The following is an 18,942-nucleotide window of genomic DNA, read 5'->3' on the forward strand; positions in this document are numbered from 1 at the left end:
TTAAGTGAGGAAATCATAAATTTCATTTTTTTATCCCTTCTAATGGCAAAAGCAGTTCTGAGAATATGCTAGGCACTTCAGTGCTTGTAGCCTTGGAAAAAGGTGGTGAGCATGTTTGTAGAAGATAAATTCTGGGAATAAAGCACCACCAAAAGGCTAAGAGATTTAGCCGGGCATGGTGGCATGCACCTGTAGTCCCAGCCAATCTGGAGGCTGAGGCAGGAGAGTCTCTTGAACCTGGGAGGTGGAGGCTGCAGTGAGTTGAGATCATGCTGCTACAGTCCAGCCTGGGCCACAGAGGAAGACTCTGTCTCAAAAAAAAAAAAAAAAAGAAAGGCCGGGCACAGTGGTTCATGCCTGTAATCCCAGCACTTTGGGAGGCTGAGGCGGGTGGATCACCTGAGGTCATGAGTTAGAGACCAGCCTGGCCAACATGGTAAAACCCCGTTTCTACTAAAAATACCAAAAATTAGCCAGGTGTAGTGGCGGGCGCCTATAATCCCAGCTACTAGGGAGGCTGAGACAGGAGAATCACTTGAACCCAGGAGGCAGAGGTTGCAGTGAGCTAAGATTGCACCATTGTACTCCAGCCTGGGCAACAAGAGCAAAACTCCGTCTCAAACAAAACAAAACAAACCACTAAGAGATCTAATCAATTATTCTGGCACACAAGGTAATATGAATTTCCTGAAAATGCAACTAAAAATACGTTATTAACCACATTTCTCCATATTCAACCCTTCAAATCAAAATTATGATGATACCTTTTTTTGTATTCTGACAATTGTCATGATTACTCTTATGAAGGAAATAAATAGTAGTAAAAAAGAAAATCTGTTTCTTGTTACTCTTTTTTGTAATCCATATGGGAAATTAAATTATATAGACAGCAAAACTGGCTTTACTATTAATAACACACGAGCTTTTCTTAAACTCTGGCTTTGTCTAACACTTTTCGTTAAGCAAATGCATTTTTACCCTACAAATCACTGAGGGACTGACATATAGTTGAAAACTATAGAAAATACAGAAAGACTTCCTCTAGTCTTATCCACAACTCTTCATAATGTTATTGCACGAGAATTTTGAATGTGGTGCAGTAAGAAAAGCACCCTCAGCTGTGCCTCGGAAGACCTGAGTTCTGGCTCTGGCTCTACCACCAAATTACTGTGTGATTTTGGGTGAGCCACTTTGCCTCTCTGGACTTAAATATTACTACTTTGAAAGAAAGAGAGGGAGAGAGACATCAGCTGTATGACCTGAGGCCATTTTCTGCCCTAATACTCTATGACAAATATCTGTGATAGTAGTAATTTCTACATTTACACTTAGGGTTTATTTAAATACAGTTTTTTCTTTCTCTTTATTTTGGAGGAAAGGAGGTCAAATATGCTGCTAGTCTCTTTTTCCCTCTGAAGTGAAATACAGTCTTTTGAACCTTTGGAGGGACCCAGTAGAATTGAATTTAGATGGGATGTCCCCAATGGATCTGATCCAGCATTTTCAGAACCCATTGAATGTGCAGCAGAAGGTAGACTTGGAGAGGCCATTGGCTCTGGAGGGGTCACACTACTTTGGTTTTGTAGTTTGGTTTCTGCTGCCTTCCCATAGAATGCCTGAATCCCTGATGTAGGCCCAAAGGTGAGGAACCAAGGCTTGTCAGTTAACTATGTCACAGTTTGTCTGTCTTCCGAGTCAGGATGTTGTGGGTTGAATAATGGTCAACCAAAGAGATGAAGTCTTAATTCCTAGAACTTGTAAATGTTACTTTACTTGGGAGAAGAGCTTCTGCAGATGTGATTAAGTCAAGGATTTTGAGATGGGGAGATTATCATGGATTACCTGGACGGATCCTAAATCCAATCATGAGTGTTCTCATAAATCAGAGGTGGGTGAGATCTGATGCAGACACACAGTGGAGAAGGAGATGTGAAGATGGTGGAGATTAAAGTGATGTGGCCACAAGCCCCAGGTTTGCTGGGGCAGCCACCAAGAGCCAGAAGTGGCAAGGAACAATTCGCCCTTCAAGCACCCAGAAGGAGGCAGCCCTGCTGGATTATAGCCATCTGGCCTCCAGAACTGGGGGAGAATACACGTCTGCTGCTCTAAGCCACTAAGTTGGTGGTAATTTGTTACAGCAGCCACAGGAAACAAATACACAGGTGACAGCAGGCAAGTGTCCAGTCCTGCAGGGGCCCACACCAGCCCTCAGATCTGGCTCAGGAAACACAAAAAGAGGAGCATCCTTCCATTCTGGCTGTTCAGTCCTTTCCTCCAACTCTTCACCAGACTCCACATCTCCACCTTGCCTCATTCTCTCTGTTCAACTATTTATTAAGAAGTTGCTGTGCACTAAGCACTGTGCCAAGTATGGAGGAGCAGCTGATAAAAGAATCCTCAGGAACTGAAGATAGAGACTGTTTGGGGTTTAGATCAGCTTGCACTAGAAACTGGGCTTGGGGGGAATTCCACCTTAGTCCCTCAGGCCTTGCTTAACTGGGCTTTGGAGGGGAAGGTGGCTTCCCCCACACCTGCCCTCACTGATGAGGCGGTCCCATAGTTCCCACCATCATGACATGGACTAGTAATACCTGAGGGCCCTGAGTTCTCCATCGGCTCACCATTGATCTTTGCTTATCACATACAAAACTCTCATAAAGGAACTGGGTTTTCCCCAAACTGCGTCAAAACATGAATGATGGTGAGGGGAATTTGCCGAGGTATGAATTCAGGTACCAGCAGATATTTCCTTTTATTTTTTCTTTAGAGACAGGTCAGTGGCTCAATCATAGCTCACCTCAAACTGCTGGACTCAAGTGATCCTCCCACTTTAGCTTCCCAAGTAGCTGGGACTACAAGTGCATGCCACCATGCCTGGCTAATTTTATTTAAAAAATTTGTACAGATGATGCATTAGTCCGTTGTCACACTGCTATAAAGAAAGACCAAGATTGGATAATTTATAAAGGAAAGAGGTTAAATTGACTCACAGTTCTGCATTGCTGGGGAGGCCTCAAGAAACTTATAATCATGGTGGAAGGCAAAGGAGAAGCAGGCACATTTTTCACAGGTCGGCAGGATGGAGTGAGTGCAAGCAGGGAAAATGCCAGGTGTTTATAAAACCATCAGATCAGATCTCTTGAGACTCACTCACTATCATGAGAACAGCATGGGGGAAACTGCCCCCATGATCCAATTAACTCCACCTGGTCCCGCCCTTGACACATGGGGATTATGAGGATTATAATTCAAGATGAGATTTGGGTAGGGACACAGAGCCAAACCGTATGAGATGGGGTCTTGCTATGTTGACCAGTCTGGTCTTGAACTCCTAGGCTCAAGCAATCCTCCTGCCTCAGCCTCCCAAAATGCTGGAATTACAGATGTGAGCCACCGTACCTGGCATCCAGCAGATATTTCTACTGCATTTCTCCAGGAATGAGTGGGTTGGAGATGAGGAGATTCTGGAACTTCTGTCATTTCCTCCCAACAATTCTGGGACTCATGTTCACTCTCCTGGGATAGGGGAAACTGACTTAAAGTGATTTTCAAATGGCATTCCTGTTGAAAGAGTTAATATATGTACATGCATACAACATACACACACATTTGTGTATGCTACATACCATGGAGGAAAGCCAGTCCTGGTATAAATTGTATAACTTCAAAATAATAATGGAATTATGATTTCATTTTAATACTGATTTCAATTAAAAATTTTAATAGACTATTTTTTAGAGGTTTTAAGTTTACAGAAAATCTAGGTAGACAACACAGAAAATTCCCATTAACCCCTGTATTAGTCTGCTAGGACTTCCATAACAAAATACTACAGGCTGAGTAGCTTAAACAACAGAAATTTGTTTTCCCACAGTTCTGGAGGCTAGAAGACCAAGGTGCCCACAAGTCTGGTTTCTGGTGATGCCTATTTACCTTACTTGCAGATGGCTGCCTTCTCCCTGTGTCCTCACATGGCCTTTCCTCTGAGCACCTGGAGGCAAGAGAGTGAGCTCTGGTGTGTATTCCTCTACCTAGGAGACACCAGTCCTATTGAATTAGGGCCTCAGCCTTACGATCTCATTTAACCCTCATTGCCTCCCTTTAGGTGACTAGGTGTGAGGGTGGAGCCCTCAAGAGACTGCCTTCTCTCCATCTGCTGTTTGTAGTGGGAGGATACCTCCAGAGAGGCTGCTGCTCATTGAGCTGCACTCACATGAGGATACAGACTTTGTGAAGAAGGAATTGGCAACACTGAAACCTCCAGAACAAAGGCTGTCACTAAGGTATGTGCTACAAGCATCCTTGGGGAAGAAGGGCATGAGTAGGCAGGGGCATTTTTATATCTTTAGAGGATAGGCAAAGGGAAGACCAAAATTTCAGAGGTCTAGCACAAGAAGTAAAATTTTTTTTTAAATCTTTGCATTTCCTCAGAGCCCACAAACATGCATGTGTCTTAGTGGCTGCCCATGCTCTGGCTGAGGAGAGCAAACCGTGCCATATTCTCTGCAGGCCTTTAGGAGAGAGTGAAAACTCCTACAAGAGTGGGAAGGTAGATAAGAGAAGATCCTTTATAATACCAGGCATCTGGGAAGATCTGTCCTTGTGCTGGGTACAGGGCTTCTATCAGGTAACTGAAGGACACCTGGGTGCTGTTCTTAAGGAAAGAAGCCAGCGAGCAAACTTTCATATGACTAAAGAAGTTGCTGGTGGGTGCCTGTAGTCCCAGCTACTCAAGAGCCTGGGGCAGAAGGATTGCTTGCGCCCAGAAGTCAGGGCTTTGTGTGAGATCACACCTGCGTATAACTACTGTACTCCAGCTTGGGCAACATAGTGAGACCCTGTCTCTAAAAAAATAAATAAATTGCTTGCTTGCTTGCTTGTGCTTTCAAATCATAGAAAAGTAGCAGAGTGGAGAGGGGTGTCTGAATGTAAAGCAAACAAATGCCTTGGAAAAATATGTCTGGATTGAAATTGCATTGAATGTATATATCAATTTGAGAAGAATTGTCAAGTTTTATAATTTTTATGTAACTGAATTGCATTTTTATTAGTTTTATTCCTAGTAATGCTAGTAATTTTCATTGCTAGTATAATTGGGATCATTTTTCTATTGCATTTATAAAGTTATTTTTTTTCTGGTGCTTAGGAAAGCAATTAAAAGAATAAACTGATGAATATCATGCAGATATATCTCTAAAACAATAAGCAAAATACAAAGGGAAAAACAATATATCATTTATGTAAGTTAAAACAATATATCATTTATGTAAGTTAAAACACACAAAAATATATATTGTTTATGGATATATATAAATATGTAAAAGTACAGGGGGAAATTGTTTGGAATGATACATACCAAATTGGTTTTAGTTGTTGTTTCTGTTATGGGGATAAGTTGTGTAGTTAAAGGGAACATTAGCTTCATCTCTATTGCATCAGAAATAAAAAAAGAAAGAGGGATGGAAGGAAGAGAGGGAATGAGGGAGGGAGAAAAGAAGGGAGAAAAAAAGAAGGAAGGAAGGAAAAAAAAATAACCCAAAGCATTGTGAGAATATGTTAGCAGCTGCTAATTCTAGGTGATGGAACTATGGGTATTTACATTTTCTTTGTAAGTTTTGGCTTTTCTCATCTCAGCTGACTCCCTTTGGTTTACATAACAAAATACAATAGACTGAGTGGCTTAAACAACAGAAAGTGTTGTTTAACATACTTCTAAAGGCTGGAAGTCCAAGACCAAGCTGCCAATGCAGTTGATTTCTGGTGAGGCTTCTCTACCTGGCTTGCTGATTTCAGCCTTCTTGCTGTGTCCTCACATGGTCTTTACTCCATGCACAAGGGGAGCAAAATTTCTTGTGTCTCTTTCTCTTCTGTTAAGGACACTAGTTCTATCAGATTAGGGCCCTGCCTTTTTTGGTTTTGTTTCTGTTTTCTTTTTTTTGAGACAGAGTCTCACTCTGTCACCCAGGCTGGAGTACAGTGGCTTGATCTCGAGTCATTGCAACCCCTGCTTCCTGGGTTCAAGAAATTGTCGTGCCTCAGCCTCCCGAGGTAGCTTGGATTACAGGCATGTGGCACCATGCCTGGCTAATTTTTGTAATTTTAGTAGAGACGGGGTTTTGCACTGTTGGCCAGGCTTGTCTCGAACTCCTGGCCTCAAGCAATCCGCCTACCTTGGCCTCCCAAAGTGCTGGGATTACAGGTGTGAGTCACTGTGAGAGCCAGGGCCCTGCCTTTATAACCTCATTTAACCTTTTTTTTTTTTTTTTAATTTTAATTTTTTTTTTTTTTTTTGAGACAGAATCTCACTCTGTCGCCCAGGATGGAGTGCAGTGGTGTGATCTCGGCTCACAGCAACCTCCACCTCTTCGGTTCAAGTGATTCTTCTGCCTCAGCCTCCTGAGTAGCTAGGATTACAGGCATGCACCCGCCATGCCCGGCTAATTTTTGTATTTTTAGTAGAGACGGGGTTTCGCCATGTTGGCAAGGCTGGTCTTGAACCCCTGACCTCAGGTGATCTGCCCACCTTGGCCTCCCAAAGTGCTAGGATTACAGGCATGAGCCACAGCTCCCGGTCTATCATTTAACCTTAATTACATCTTTAAAGGCCCAAATAGTCTCACCCACTCCAAATAGTCACACCCACACCGGAGGTTGAGCACTTCAACACATGAATTTGGGGAGGACACAGTTCAGTCCATAACATCCCCCTAATTTTTAAAAAATAAAAATGTTTTTAAGGAGTGAATGTCTTTTATGTGTCTCTGTGACCAGGTCCCGCTGCCTTGATGGATTATACACTTGACCTCAGTGTGACAACAGTGACCGACTACTACTACCCTGATATCTTCTCAAGCCCCTGTGATGCGGAACTTATTCAGACAAATGGCAAGTTGCTCCTTGCTGTCTTTTATTGCCTCCTGTTTGTATTCAGTCTTCTGGGAAACAGCCTGGTCATCCTGGTCCTTGTGGTCTGCAAGAAGCTGAGGAGCATCACAGATGTATACCTCTTGAACCTGGCCCTGTCTGACCTGCTTTTTGTCTTCTCCTTCCCCTTTCAGACCTACTATCTGCTGGACCAGTGGGTGTTTGGGACTGTAATGTGCAAAGTGGTGTCTGGCTTTTATTACATTGGCTTCTACAGCAGCATGTTTTTCATCACCCTCATGAGTGTGGACAGGTACCTGGCTGTTGTCCATGCCGTGTATGCCCTAAAGGTGAGGACGATCAGGATGGGCACAACGCTGTGCCTGGCAGTATGGCTAACCGCCATTATGGCTACCATCCCATTGCTAGTGTTTTACCAAGTGGCCTCTGAAGATGGTGTTCTACAGTGTTATTCATTTTACAATCAACAGACTTTGAAGTGGAAGATCTTCACCAACTTCAAAATGAACATTTTAGGCTTGTTGATCCCATTCACCATCTTTATGTTCTGCTACATTAAAATCCTGCACCAGCTGAAGAGGTGTCAAAACCACAACAAGACCAAGGCCATCAGGTTGGTGCTCATTGTGGTCATTGCATCTTTACTTTTCTGGGTCCCATTCAACGTGGTTCTTTTCCTCACTTCCTTGCACAGTATGCACATCTTGGATGGATGTAGCATAAGCCAACAGCTGACTTATGCCACCCATGTCACAGAAATCATTTCCTTTACTCACTGCTGTGTGAACCCTGTTATCTATGCTTTTGTTGGGGAGAAGTTCAAGAAACACCTCTCAGAAATATTTCAGAAAAGTTGCAGCCAAATCTTCAACTACCTAGGAAGACAAATGCCTAGGGAGAGCTGTGAAAAGTCATCATCCTGCCAGCAGCACTCCTCCCGTTCCTCCAGCGTAGACTACATTTTGTGAGGATCAATGAAGACTAAATATAAAAAACATTTTCTTGAATGGCATGCTAGTAGCAGTGAGCAAAGGTGTGGGTGTGAAAGGTTTCCAAAAAAAGTTCAGCATGAAGGATGCCATATATGTTGTTGCCAACACTTGGAACACAATGACTAAAGACATAGTTGTGCATGCCTGGCACAACATCAAGCCTGTGATTGTGTTTATTGATGATGTTGAACAAGTGGTAACTTTAAAGGATTCTGTATGCCAAGTGAAAAAAAAAGATGTCTGACCTCCTTACATATGCAAAAATATACCTTCAGAGACTGTCAGTAGGCTGGAAGAAGTGGATATTGAAGTTTTGACATCAATGATGAGGCTCCAGTTGTCTATTCATTGACTGATGGTGAAATGGCTGGAGTGATTCTGAATCAAGGTGATTGTGATTATAGTGACAATGAAGATGATGCTATTAATACTGCATAAAAAGTGCCTGTAGATGACATGGTGAAAATATTTGACAGGCTTATGGAAGGACTACAGCAGCATGCATTCATAACAGAACAAGAAATTATGTCAGCTTATAAAATCAAACAGAGACTTCTAGACAAAAACCATTGTTGATGAGGCAGATGCCTCTAGAAGAGACGTTTAAAAGCCATCAAACACAATGCCTCATCTTCCCTGGAGGACCCACTTCCTGATCCCTCAACTGTGTCTGATGTTTCTTCTCATGTAAGAAATAAAAAATAAAAATAAAATAAAATATATTGGTATGTAACTACAGGAAAAAAATAAAAAATATATAGTGGACAGTAACCTTTCAATCAAAACTCAGTATCATAAGTAGAGACTGAAAACTTGCCGTTATTGATTGTTGTTATTAACAGCTGATACAGGTATTCTGCTGATGCTACTGCTGCCTAGTTACCATGAACACGTTTTTTCACTATTAATGGTGCGTCATATTTTTTACTTTTAAGTACTTACGTGTGAGTAAGTGTAAGAAAATGATTGCTTATCAGTAGTATCAATGATTTACTCAATATCTGAATCACCTTGATTCAGAACCATTTCAGCTGTTTCACCATCAGTCAATGAATAACAGCCTCATTGATGTCAAAAACTTCAATATCCACTTCTTTCAGCCTACTGTAGACTCTGGAAGTATACTTTTTGCATATGTAAGGAAGTCAGACTTTTTTTTTTCACTTGACATACAGAATCCTTCAAAGTTACCCCTAGTTCAACATCATCAGTAGACAAAATCACGGGGCAGAGGTTGTGCCAGGCATGCACAACTATGTCTTTAGTCGTTGTGTTCCAAGTGTTGGCAACAAGATATATGGCATATTTCAGATAAGTTCAGAGTCAGGAAAGATGATGGTGCCAAACAACCACAAGCTGGGCACGGTAGCTCACCCCTGTAATCCCAGCACTTTGGGAGACTGAGGCGGGCAGATCACTTGAGGTCAGGAGTTCAAGACCAGCCTGGCCAATATGGTGAAATTCCATCTCTACTAAAAATACAAAAATTAACCTTTCTGCCTGTAAATGCCATTGAAGAAGCACCGTTAGATTCTCTCTTCTCACTGCCGTCCTGTCTAAGTCAGAGTCTTCTAAAAAGCCTGAACAGCTGAGGAAGCTCTTCATTGGAGTGTTGACCTTTGAAACAACTGATGAGAGCCTGAGGAGCCATTTTGAGCAATGGGGAACGCTCACGAACTGCATGGGTAATGAGAGATCCAAACACCAAGCGCTCCAGGGGCTTTGGGTTTGTGACATATGCCACTGTGGAGGAGGTGGATGCAGCCATGAATGCAAGGCCATGCAAGGTGGATGGAAGAACTGTGGAACCAAAGAGAGACATCTCAAGAGAAGATTCTCGAAGACCAGGTGCTCACTTAACTGTGAAAAAGATATTTGTTGGTGGCGTTAAAGAAGACACTGAAGAACATCACCTAAAAGATTATTTTGAACAGTAAGGGAAAATTGAAGTGATTGAAATCATGACTGACTGAGGCAGTGGCAAAAAAAAGGGCTTTGCCTTTGTAACCTTTGACAACCATGACTCCGTGGATAAGACTGTCATTCAGAAATACTGTACTGTGAGTGGCCACAACTGTGAAGCTAGGAAAGCTCTGTGAAAGCAAGAGATGGCTCGTGCTTCAACCAGCCAAAGAGGTCGAAGTGGTTCTGGAAACTTTGGTGGTGGTCGTGGAGGTGGTTTTGATGGGAATGACAACTTTGGTGGTGGAGGAAACTTCAGTGGTCGTGGTGGCTTTGGTGGCAGCCATGGTGGTGGTGGATATGGTGGCAGGGGGGATGGCTATAATGGATGTGGTAATGATGGAAGCAGTTTTGGAGGTGGTGGAAGCTACAATGATTTTGTCAATTACAACAATCAGTCTTCACATTTTGGGCCCATGAAGGGAGGAAACTTTGGAGGCAGAAGCTCTGGTCCCTATGGTGGCGGAGGCCAATACTTTACCAAACCATGAAACCAAGGTGGCTATGGCAGTTCCAGTAGCAGCAGTAGCTATAGCAGTGGCAGAAGATTTTAATTAGGAAACAAAGCTTAGCAGGAGAGGAGAGCCAGAGAAGTGACAGGGAAGCTACAGGTTACAACAGATTTGTGAACTCAACAAAGCATAGTGGTGGCAGGGCTTAGCTGCTACAAAGAAGACATGTTTTAGACAAATACTTATGTGTATGAGCAAAAATCTTGAGGACTGTATTTGTGACTAATTGTATAACGGTTATTTTAGTTTCTGTTCTGTGGAAAGTGTAAAGCATTCCAACAAAGGGTCTTAATGTAGATTTTTTTTTTTTTGCACCCATGCTGTTGATTGCTAAATGTAATAGTCTGATCATGATGCTGAATAAATGTCTTTTCTTTTCTAATGTGCTGTGTAAGGTTAGTCTACTCTGAAGCCATCTTGGTAAATTTCCCCCAGCAGTGTGAAGTTAGAATTCTTTCAGGCTGATGCAAGGTTCTATTTGGAATTTATATACAAACTGCTTGGGTGGAGAAGACATTGTCTTCAGAAACCTTGGTGTAGTTGAACTGATGGTTATTGTTGTGACCTGAAGTTCACCACTGAAAGAGATTACCCAAGCAAAATCATGTAATTATTGGTTATAAATATGATTGTTGGCACATCCTATGCAATATATCTAAATTGAATAATGGCACCAGGTAAAATTATAGATGGGAATGAAGCTTGTGTATCATCCATTATCATGTGTAATTAATAAATGATTTAATTGTCTTAAAAAATAAAAATACAAAAATTAGCCAGGTGTGGTGGCTTGTGCCTATAGTCCTGGCTACTTGGGAGGCTGAGGCAGGAGAATCACTTAAACCTGGGAGGCAGAGGTTGCCCTGAGCAGAGATCACGCCCCTGCTCTTCAGCTTGGGCAACAGAATGAGACTCAGTCTCAATAAATAAGTTAAATTAAATTTATAAAACTACTGTGATGGTTAATACGGAGTGTCAACTTGATTGGATTGAAGGACACAAAGTATCGATCCTGGGTGTGTCTGTGAGGGTGTTGCCAAAAGATATTAACATTTGAGTCAGTGGGCTGGGAAAGGCAGACCCACCCTTAACCTGGGTGGGCACCATCTAACAGCTGCCAGCATGGCTAGAATATAAGCAGGCAGAAAAATGTGAAAAGAGAGACTGGCCTAGCCTCCCAAACTACATCTTTCTTCCGTGCTGGATGCCTCCTGCCCTTGAACATCAGACTCAAGTTCTTCAGTTTTGGAACTCAGACTGGCTCTCCTTGCTCCTCAGCCTGCAGATGGCCTACTGTGGGACCTTGGGATCATGTGAGTTAATACTTAATAAACTCATATATATATATATATATATATATTCCATTAGTTCTGTCCCTCTAGAAAACCCTGACTAATACAACTACCTTCAGGCTATGTGTATAAGGCATATATAAAACATAAATGAATTCTGTGTTTAGACCTGGGTCCCAACCCCAAAATATCTCATTATGTATACACAAATATTCCAAAATCTAAAAAACAAAACAAAACGAAACAAAACAAAAAACCAAAATCTGAAACACTTCTGATCCCAAGCATTTAGGATAAGGGATATTCAACCTGTATGTTAAAATATTTAACTATGATTGGAAGTTTGTCTATTTTTCATTTTAATTATGTAAATTTTTGCAGTATATATCTTGAAGCTACGTTATTAGGTGAATGCATAAATAGTATTGTTATGACTTTTTATTGAATTGACTCTTTTAGCATTATGAAATGCCTCTTTCTCTCCAGTAATACTTCTTGTCTTAGTATCTACTATGCTTAGCATTAATATAGCCACACTGGTTTTTCTTTTGATTAGTGTATATGTTGTGTATTTCCATGTTCTTTCACTTTAAACCAAACAACTCTCCTATATTTAAATATTATAATATATTATATATTAATATTATATTATTATATTTTAATGTTATTTAAATATTCTTTTGTAAGCAGAATTTAGTTTGGGCTCTTCTTTTCTCACAGAGAGAGAGAGGATTTTATTGCCACAAAGACAAAATCATTTTTAGGTAAAATATTCTGTGGGATTCCATTATAGAGCATACAAAGGGTTGATTTCAGATTTCAAAATAATTTTTATCTTTTATTTTCTGGTTTAACAATGTAATTTCAATTACAGAGGACACACTCTTCAAGGCTAATGGCCTTGAATCCAATCATTTTGAGAAAACATCCAAATGGCTTTTTCTTAAAATGTTTTAATATGTGCTTATGATATTTATACCATCCCTCAAAAAAGTGTAGGCTTCTGAAAAACATAAAAAGTTCTCTTTTTTCTTCTGCTCTAGACATAAATTCACTTAATTCTGAATATTCTGTGAGCTCCATTATTATGTTGAGATCAGCAATAACAAAAGACAAATTCCTCATTCTTAATTTCCAGAATCTGAAATACAAGTTGAAATCTAACCCCGTGGCAATTTCCTGATAATCTGTGTTTTTGTACAACCTTTGTACTCTTTTCTGTCATCTCAGTGGTTAAGGCCTCTGTTTTCTTGGAATACAGTCTGTATCAGCAATTCCACATTCATGGATTCAACCAACCACTGAAAATATTTTTTGTATTTTTTATTTTTTTTAAAAATACAAAGTCAAAAATATAGTATAATGACTACTTACATAGCAAATACCTTGTATTAGGTAATGTAGGTAATCTAGAGATAATTTAAAGTATAAAGGAGTATGTGAAAATATTAAGCCATTTTATATTAGAGACTTGAACATCCTCCTGTACTTCCGGGGGTTCTAGAACCAATTCCCCATGGATACCAAGAAGACTGTAATTTCTTACATTGATGTCGGTAAGCATACTTAGAAATGGAAGTTCTGATTCTAAATGTCTAAGGTTACTTCCTAGATCTTTTGAAGGCTGCCATCCTTCAGAAATTGGTATATTTCTTGAAATTTTTGGACTCTGGAGGTCTCTTCTCAGGGTGTAAGTAGCTCTGCTATGGGCATCTTCCCAAGCACATCAAGCCAGGGTGCACTCCTATTGAACCAGCTCTTGAGCTTGGTGGGGGAGGTGGGAGAGCAAGAAGGGACTCCATGACCCAGCATATAGAATTTCACATTCACATAATATTCCAGGGGTATTATGTCCCTGCACACATTGCCATAACTATCTCTAAGCAGTGCCTACACTTGGAGAGAGTTTGTTCATTTTAAGCAGAAGCCAAAGAGTACCACCTTTTGTATTTTTATTTATTTATTTTTAATTGTTTTATTTTATTTCATTTTTTTTGAGACAGGGTCTCATTCTGTCACCTACCCTGGAGAGCAGTGGCACCATCTCAGCTCACCCCAGCCTCAACCTCCTAGGCTCAAGTGATCCGCCCATCTCAGCCTCCAGAGTGGCTGGGACTACAGCCAAGTTCCACAACACCCAGCTAATTATTGTATTTTTGTAGAGACAGAGTCTCCTCATGTTGCCCAGGCTGGTCTCAAACTCCTGGGCTCAAGTGATCTGCACACCTTGGCCTCCCAAAGTGCTGGGATTACAAGTGTGAGCCACCATGCCTAGGTGTCTTGTATTTTTAAAATCCAGTATAACAATCTTTGCCTCTTAATTGTACTGTTTAGTGCATTTACATTTAATAAAATTATATAAAGCAACAGCACAAAGACAAGAGGGGATAAATGGAGGTGTAAACAGAGTTAAACATTTTTATGGTTCTTACATTACTTGACAAATATTTAAATCCTAACTTAAGATTAATCACAATAGGTTAGAGATGAGTATTGAAATTTCTAGGATAACCAGTAAAAAAAAAGTACAAGTACATATAAATACAAACTAATGGAAAAAAAAGAAATTAGAATGATAGTTGACTAATATAAAACAAGCCAAAAACAAAAACAAAACAAAACAAAACAAAACAAAACAAAAAAACAGGAAATGGGGATAGCAAATAGAAAACAAAAAGCAAGATGGTAGAATTAAACTCAACCATATCAGTAACAGGTATCAACCCAAAGCTCTCATATCATTGAGTTGCTAGGCCAATCCTGAAACCTCCTACTGTTAGAATCCTTTGTTTTAGATGAAGGTAAAACTTACATAAAACTTACCAGTTAATCATTTTAAAGTGTATAGTTCAGGAGCTTTTAGTACATTCACAATGTTGTGCAGATATCACCACTATCTAGTTCCAGAACTTCTTCATCACCCCAAATGGAAATCCATTAAGTGGTCACACTCTATTCCTTCTCCCTCCATCCCACTCCAAGCACTAATCTGCTTTCTGTCTCTATGGATTTGACTATTCTGGATATTTCATATAAATGGAATCATACAATATGGGACCTCTAGTGTCTAGCTCTTTTCGTTTAGTCAAATGACACTTTTTTTGTGAGCAAACTGAACCTTGACTTTTAACTTTGGTAGTACCAAATGAGGTATGTTGGACTAACCATTCTATTGTGGAGAGAGAAAAAGCTGGACAAAAATTAAAAATATGTATGTATCCAATTACTTGAAAGTTAATGGATAATTATAAAATCTTGGAAAAGACATAAATCCAGCATTTGGGTCTGTTTTTCCCCTGGAGATATTGCCAATTTCAGACAAAGCTTCTGCAAGCCTGAGAATCTCAGTAGCATTTTTGACTGACTCACAGGGGTAGGAGATTAAAATTGGACCTCAGTACTTTCCAAAAATGGATGCTGGCAAATCTCTTCTGTCTTAGGATGGGTCCCTTAGAGCTATACCTTAAGATTAGTGTAAATCAGACATAGGGCAGCCCTTGAAGGAACTGGCACCTAACTTCCAGTTTTCTCAATCCTTAGAAATTGGTTTGAGGCAATCTCAGGTTGCTATCATTCCCCCAGGAACCAGACAGAATCAAATATTAATCCTCTCTAGAGGAAGATAATACCATTCTATTTGTCAATCATTACTACAGTTTTCTGATTATTTTTGAAAAATTTATTGTGTCTTTGGCACATGATAAAAATAGCCAGGCACATGAAGAGACATGACACCATACACAAGAAAGACCAGAGGCAAAAAACAGAAGGGGCAGAACTACAGGAGCAACAGATACAGAAGGGTCAAGATTAGGCTTTAAAAACAACTATGCTAAGGAGAAATGAACTGGCCAAGTTGGAAATGAAGGCTCTCAAAATTTTCATGCTCAGTAGTTGGATCACACCTGTGAATAGCCACTCATTACACTCTAGCCTAGGCAACATAGCAAGCTCCTGTCTCAAAACAAACAAAACTTTGGGAGGCTGAGGCAGGTGGATCAACGAGGTCAGGAGATCGAGACCATCCTGGCCAACATGGTGAAACCCCATCTTTACTAAAAATACAAAAAATTAGCCAGGTGTGGTGGCACGCACCTGTAGTCCCAGCTACTCAGGAGGCTGAGGCAGGGGAATCCGCTTGAACCCAGGAGGCAGAGGTTACAGTGAGCTGAGATCATGCCACTGCACTCCAGCCTGGTGTCAGAGCAAGACTCTGTCTCAAACAAACAAAAACCCTAAAAAACAAATTAAAATAAATAATTATGCTTTCTATGTTCACCTAGATAAAGAAAAAACTTGGCCAGGTGCAGTGGCTCATGGCTGTAATCCCAGCACTTTGGGAGACCAAAGCAGCTGGATGACCTGAGGTCAGGAGTTCGAGACCAGCTTGGCCAATATGGTGAAACCCCATCTCTACTAAAAATACAAAAATTAACCAGGAGTGGTAGCATGCACCTGTAATCCCAGCTACTCCGGAGGCTGAGACAGGAGAATTACTGGAACCAAAGAGGCAGAGGTTGCAGTGAGTCGAGATCGTACTACGCCAGGCACTCCAGCCTGGGTGATAGAGCAAGATTCTGTCTCTGAAAGAAAGAAAGAGAGAGAGAGAAAGAAAGAAAGATCTTGATAATTTTGGCAGAGAACTGGAAATCATAATTTTTTAAAAGAGCATATTTGAAAGGCACTAAATAGAAAATTTGAAACTAAAAAGTAAAATAATTAAAATTAACAACTCTATGGATGAGATTTTCAGTAAAGTGGACAAAGCTAAAGAATTAGTGAACTGGATGATAGGCAAGAAGAAAATATCATGAATAAAGTGTGGAGGGACAAAAGAAGAGAAATAAAAATATAATAGAGAGAGTAAGAGGCATACAGCATAAGATGATAGAGTCTAACATATGTTTTTAAGAGCCTTAAAAGGAGAATAGAGAAACAATGAGGCAGAATCAATATTAGGAAATATAATGACTGAGAATGTTCCTGCACTGAGGAAAGACATAAAAAGACAAATTGAAGCAGTCCTACAATCCCAAGTAGAATTTTAAAAGCCTGACACCTATGCATACCAAAAACTGGTGGAAACCAAATGTTTTTCAGATTAAGAAAGTGAAATTTTAAAGCCAGATTTTAGAAAAGACATTATCTTCAAACAAGCAGCAATTAAAGTGAAATCAGACTTCCCAATAGGAATAGTAAAAGCCAGTAAAAAAGGAATGATAGCTTTAAAGAACTAAGAGAAAATAATGCCAAAGTAGAATTTCACATCCAGTGAAGATATCTTTAAGAATAATGGTGATGCTGGGCACGGTGGCTCATGCCTGTAATCCCAGCACTTTGGGAGGCTGAGACGGGCAGATCACGATATCAGGAGTTCGAGACCAGCCTGGCCAACATGGTGAAACCCCGTCTCTACTAAAAATACAAAAATTAGCTGGGCATGGTGGCACATCCCTGTAATCCCAGCTACTCAGGAGGCTGAGGCAGGAGAATTCCTTGAACCTGGGAGATGGAGGTTGCAGTGAGCTAAGATCACCCCACTGCACTCCAGCCCGGGTGACAGAGTGAGACTCCATCTCAACAGAAAAAAAAAAAAAAAAAAAGGAATAATGGTGACATAAAATATTCTATAATTTATTTTTTAAATGCGAAGTATCAAATATAGACAAGACATAATAATGAAAATAAAGCTTTCAAACAATCATATAAAAGAAAATCTTCATGACTTTAGTACAAGGAAATACGATGCCTTAAATGAGATTCAAAAACACAAACCATACATGAAATTTGACTGCACTCTGTCTTTTCATTAATAGAAGTTAACCCAATAAGTTAATGACTTCTGTTAACTAAAAGACAGAGTGGTAGACGCTATGATGTTCAGAAATAAAGAATTTATTATTCCAGCTTCTGGGAGAGCCACCAGAAGGCATTGCTTAGCTCTCAGTCCCTTTGGGGACTGCCTCTCTTGCCTCCTTCAAAGGGTGGCCTGCATCGCATGATCAACAAACATGAAGGTATAAAGTCCCAGCTCCTCATTGCAACTTGGAATTGCTTTGAAGGATAGGGTCAGCTGAAGTTCCTGTTGAGACTACAGTGCAGCTCTCCCTCTGCTCAGTCCTGCTTTCTTCCCTTCCCCTCCTTTCCCAGGTGTTGATTGCAAAAGTACTTTCAAAGAAACTTCCTGCACACTAGTCTCCATCTCAGAATCTGCTTCTTTGGATATCCAACCTGTCACAGACAAAAGTAGATAAGCAGGCCTTGGAATGGGAGAAGAGTGTGAGTGTGTGTGTGTGTGTTTGTGTGTGTGTGTGTGTGTAGAAAACAGGAGGGATTGATTCATAGTTGAGTCATTTGTTCTTGATTATAGCACTCAACCTGCAAATTACATTCACCTCTTGGTAACAAAGGGGAAACTTCCTCTTCCCTGAGCCATTTCACTCAGATGGAATTATTCCTGGGTAATCCTTATCTATATATCTGCCAGCAATTGCCCCTTTCCTTTCCCATAGTAATATGTAAACTCTTTCTTATCAAGAATAACTGGAGAATGATGTCTTTAGTTCAGTTGCATAGCCATATACAATAGAGAACCTCTGACTTTTCAATGGATTTGATATATTCTGAAATCCAGATCAATATCTCACTTTATTTAACTTGTCTTTGATGATCCCAAAGGCATTTGAGAACATTATCTGGCAGTGTCTCAGAGTTACTGATTTTCTCTAGATAGTATTAAAATTTATAGGTTTGTTAAGTCTGTCCTAACCCTGGGTGTTCATTCTGAAAATAATTTATTTGAATCAGCAGGTTTTGATACATTTTTCTCTATGCCATTCTGTAGTCTCAAAATGAACAAAACAGGAAGATTCCTTTTGCTCATCCATAGTTTCTGAATTGTCAGTAATAAAAATGTATTACTTTTGTAAGGAAAGTTATAAAATTCTAACAAAAAATTAAAAGTAAAATATAGGGTGTTTAGATCTCAAGTAAGCAGGAGCTTTAAGACATAGTTCTGTTTGACCCCATGTCTTTAAGTGGTGATGCAGGGTGGCCTGGGTGGATGCTGTGCATGCAGTGGGCATGCATTACAATCGAGGAACCTCATGCTTTGGAAACCCAATCTTTTAAAGGAACTGCTAGCAAACTTGTCCTGGAGGGAGACATTATTTTCCTGACAGCAGAGAAATCTATCCTCACTCCAAAAAGGGACAGTATCTTACAAGATATTTTGCTATACAAAAAGCCAAGAAAAGTTAGTCCAGAACAAAAGCTGTCAATGCCTTCACTCAGAAGATG

The 18,942-nt window shown here is 40.2% G+C and overlaps 1 protein-coding gene and 2 pseudogenes across 1 annotated transcript, besides 2 other annotated features; 2 read left to right on the forward strand and 1 right to left on the reverse strand.

The window, feature by feature from the left end:
• Window positions 2,305-2,394: an enhancer, noted in NCBI's record as "active region_19700". NCBI's record gives its function as "activates an Ori minimal core promoter by ATAC-STARR-seq in GM12878 lymphoblastoid cells {active_cell/tissue: GM12878}" and the evidence as "EXISTENCE:reporter gene assay evidence [ECO:0000049][PMID:35858748]".
• Window positions 2,745-2,834: an enhancer, noted in NCBI's record as "active region_19701". NCBI's record gives its function as "activates an Ori minimal core promoter by ATAC-STARR-seq in GM12878 lymphoblastoid cells {active_cell/tissue: GM12878}" and the evidence as "EXISTENCE:reporter gene assay evidence [ECO:0000049][PMID:35858748]".
• On the forward strand, window positions 4,163-8,134 carry CCR8 (C-C motif chemokine receptor 8). The gene is made up of 2 exons (NM_005201.4): window positions 4,163-4,283; window positions 6,772-8,134. The coding sequence occupies exon 2, from the start codon at window positions 6,786-6,788 to the stop codon at window positions 7,851-7,853; it is 1,068 nt and encodes a 355-aa protein (NP_005192.1). The 5' UTR covers window positions 4,163-4,283; window positions 6,772-6,785; the 3' UTR covers window positions 7,854-8,134.
• Window positions 9,369-10,531, forward strand: HNRNPA1P21 (heterogeneous nuclear ribonucleoprotein A1 pseudogene 21; annotated as a pseudogene).
• Window positions 12,583-13,333, reverse strand: CENPPP1 (CENPP pseudogene 1; annotated as a pseudogene).

This window comes from Homo sapiens, chromosome 3 (assembly GCF_000001405.40).
Source record: "Homo sapiens chromosome 3, GRCh38.p14 Primary Assembly".
Classification (NCBI taxonomy): domain Eukaryota; kingdom Metazoa; phylum Chordata; class Mammalia; order Primates; family Hominidae; genus Homo; species Homo sapiens.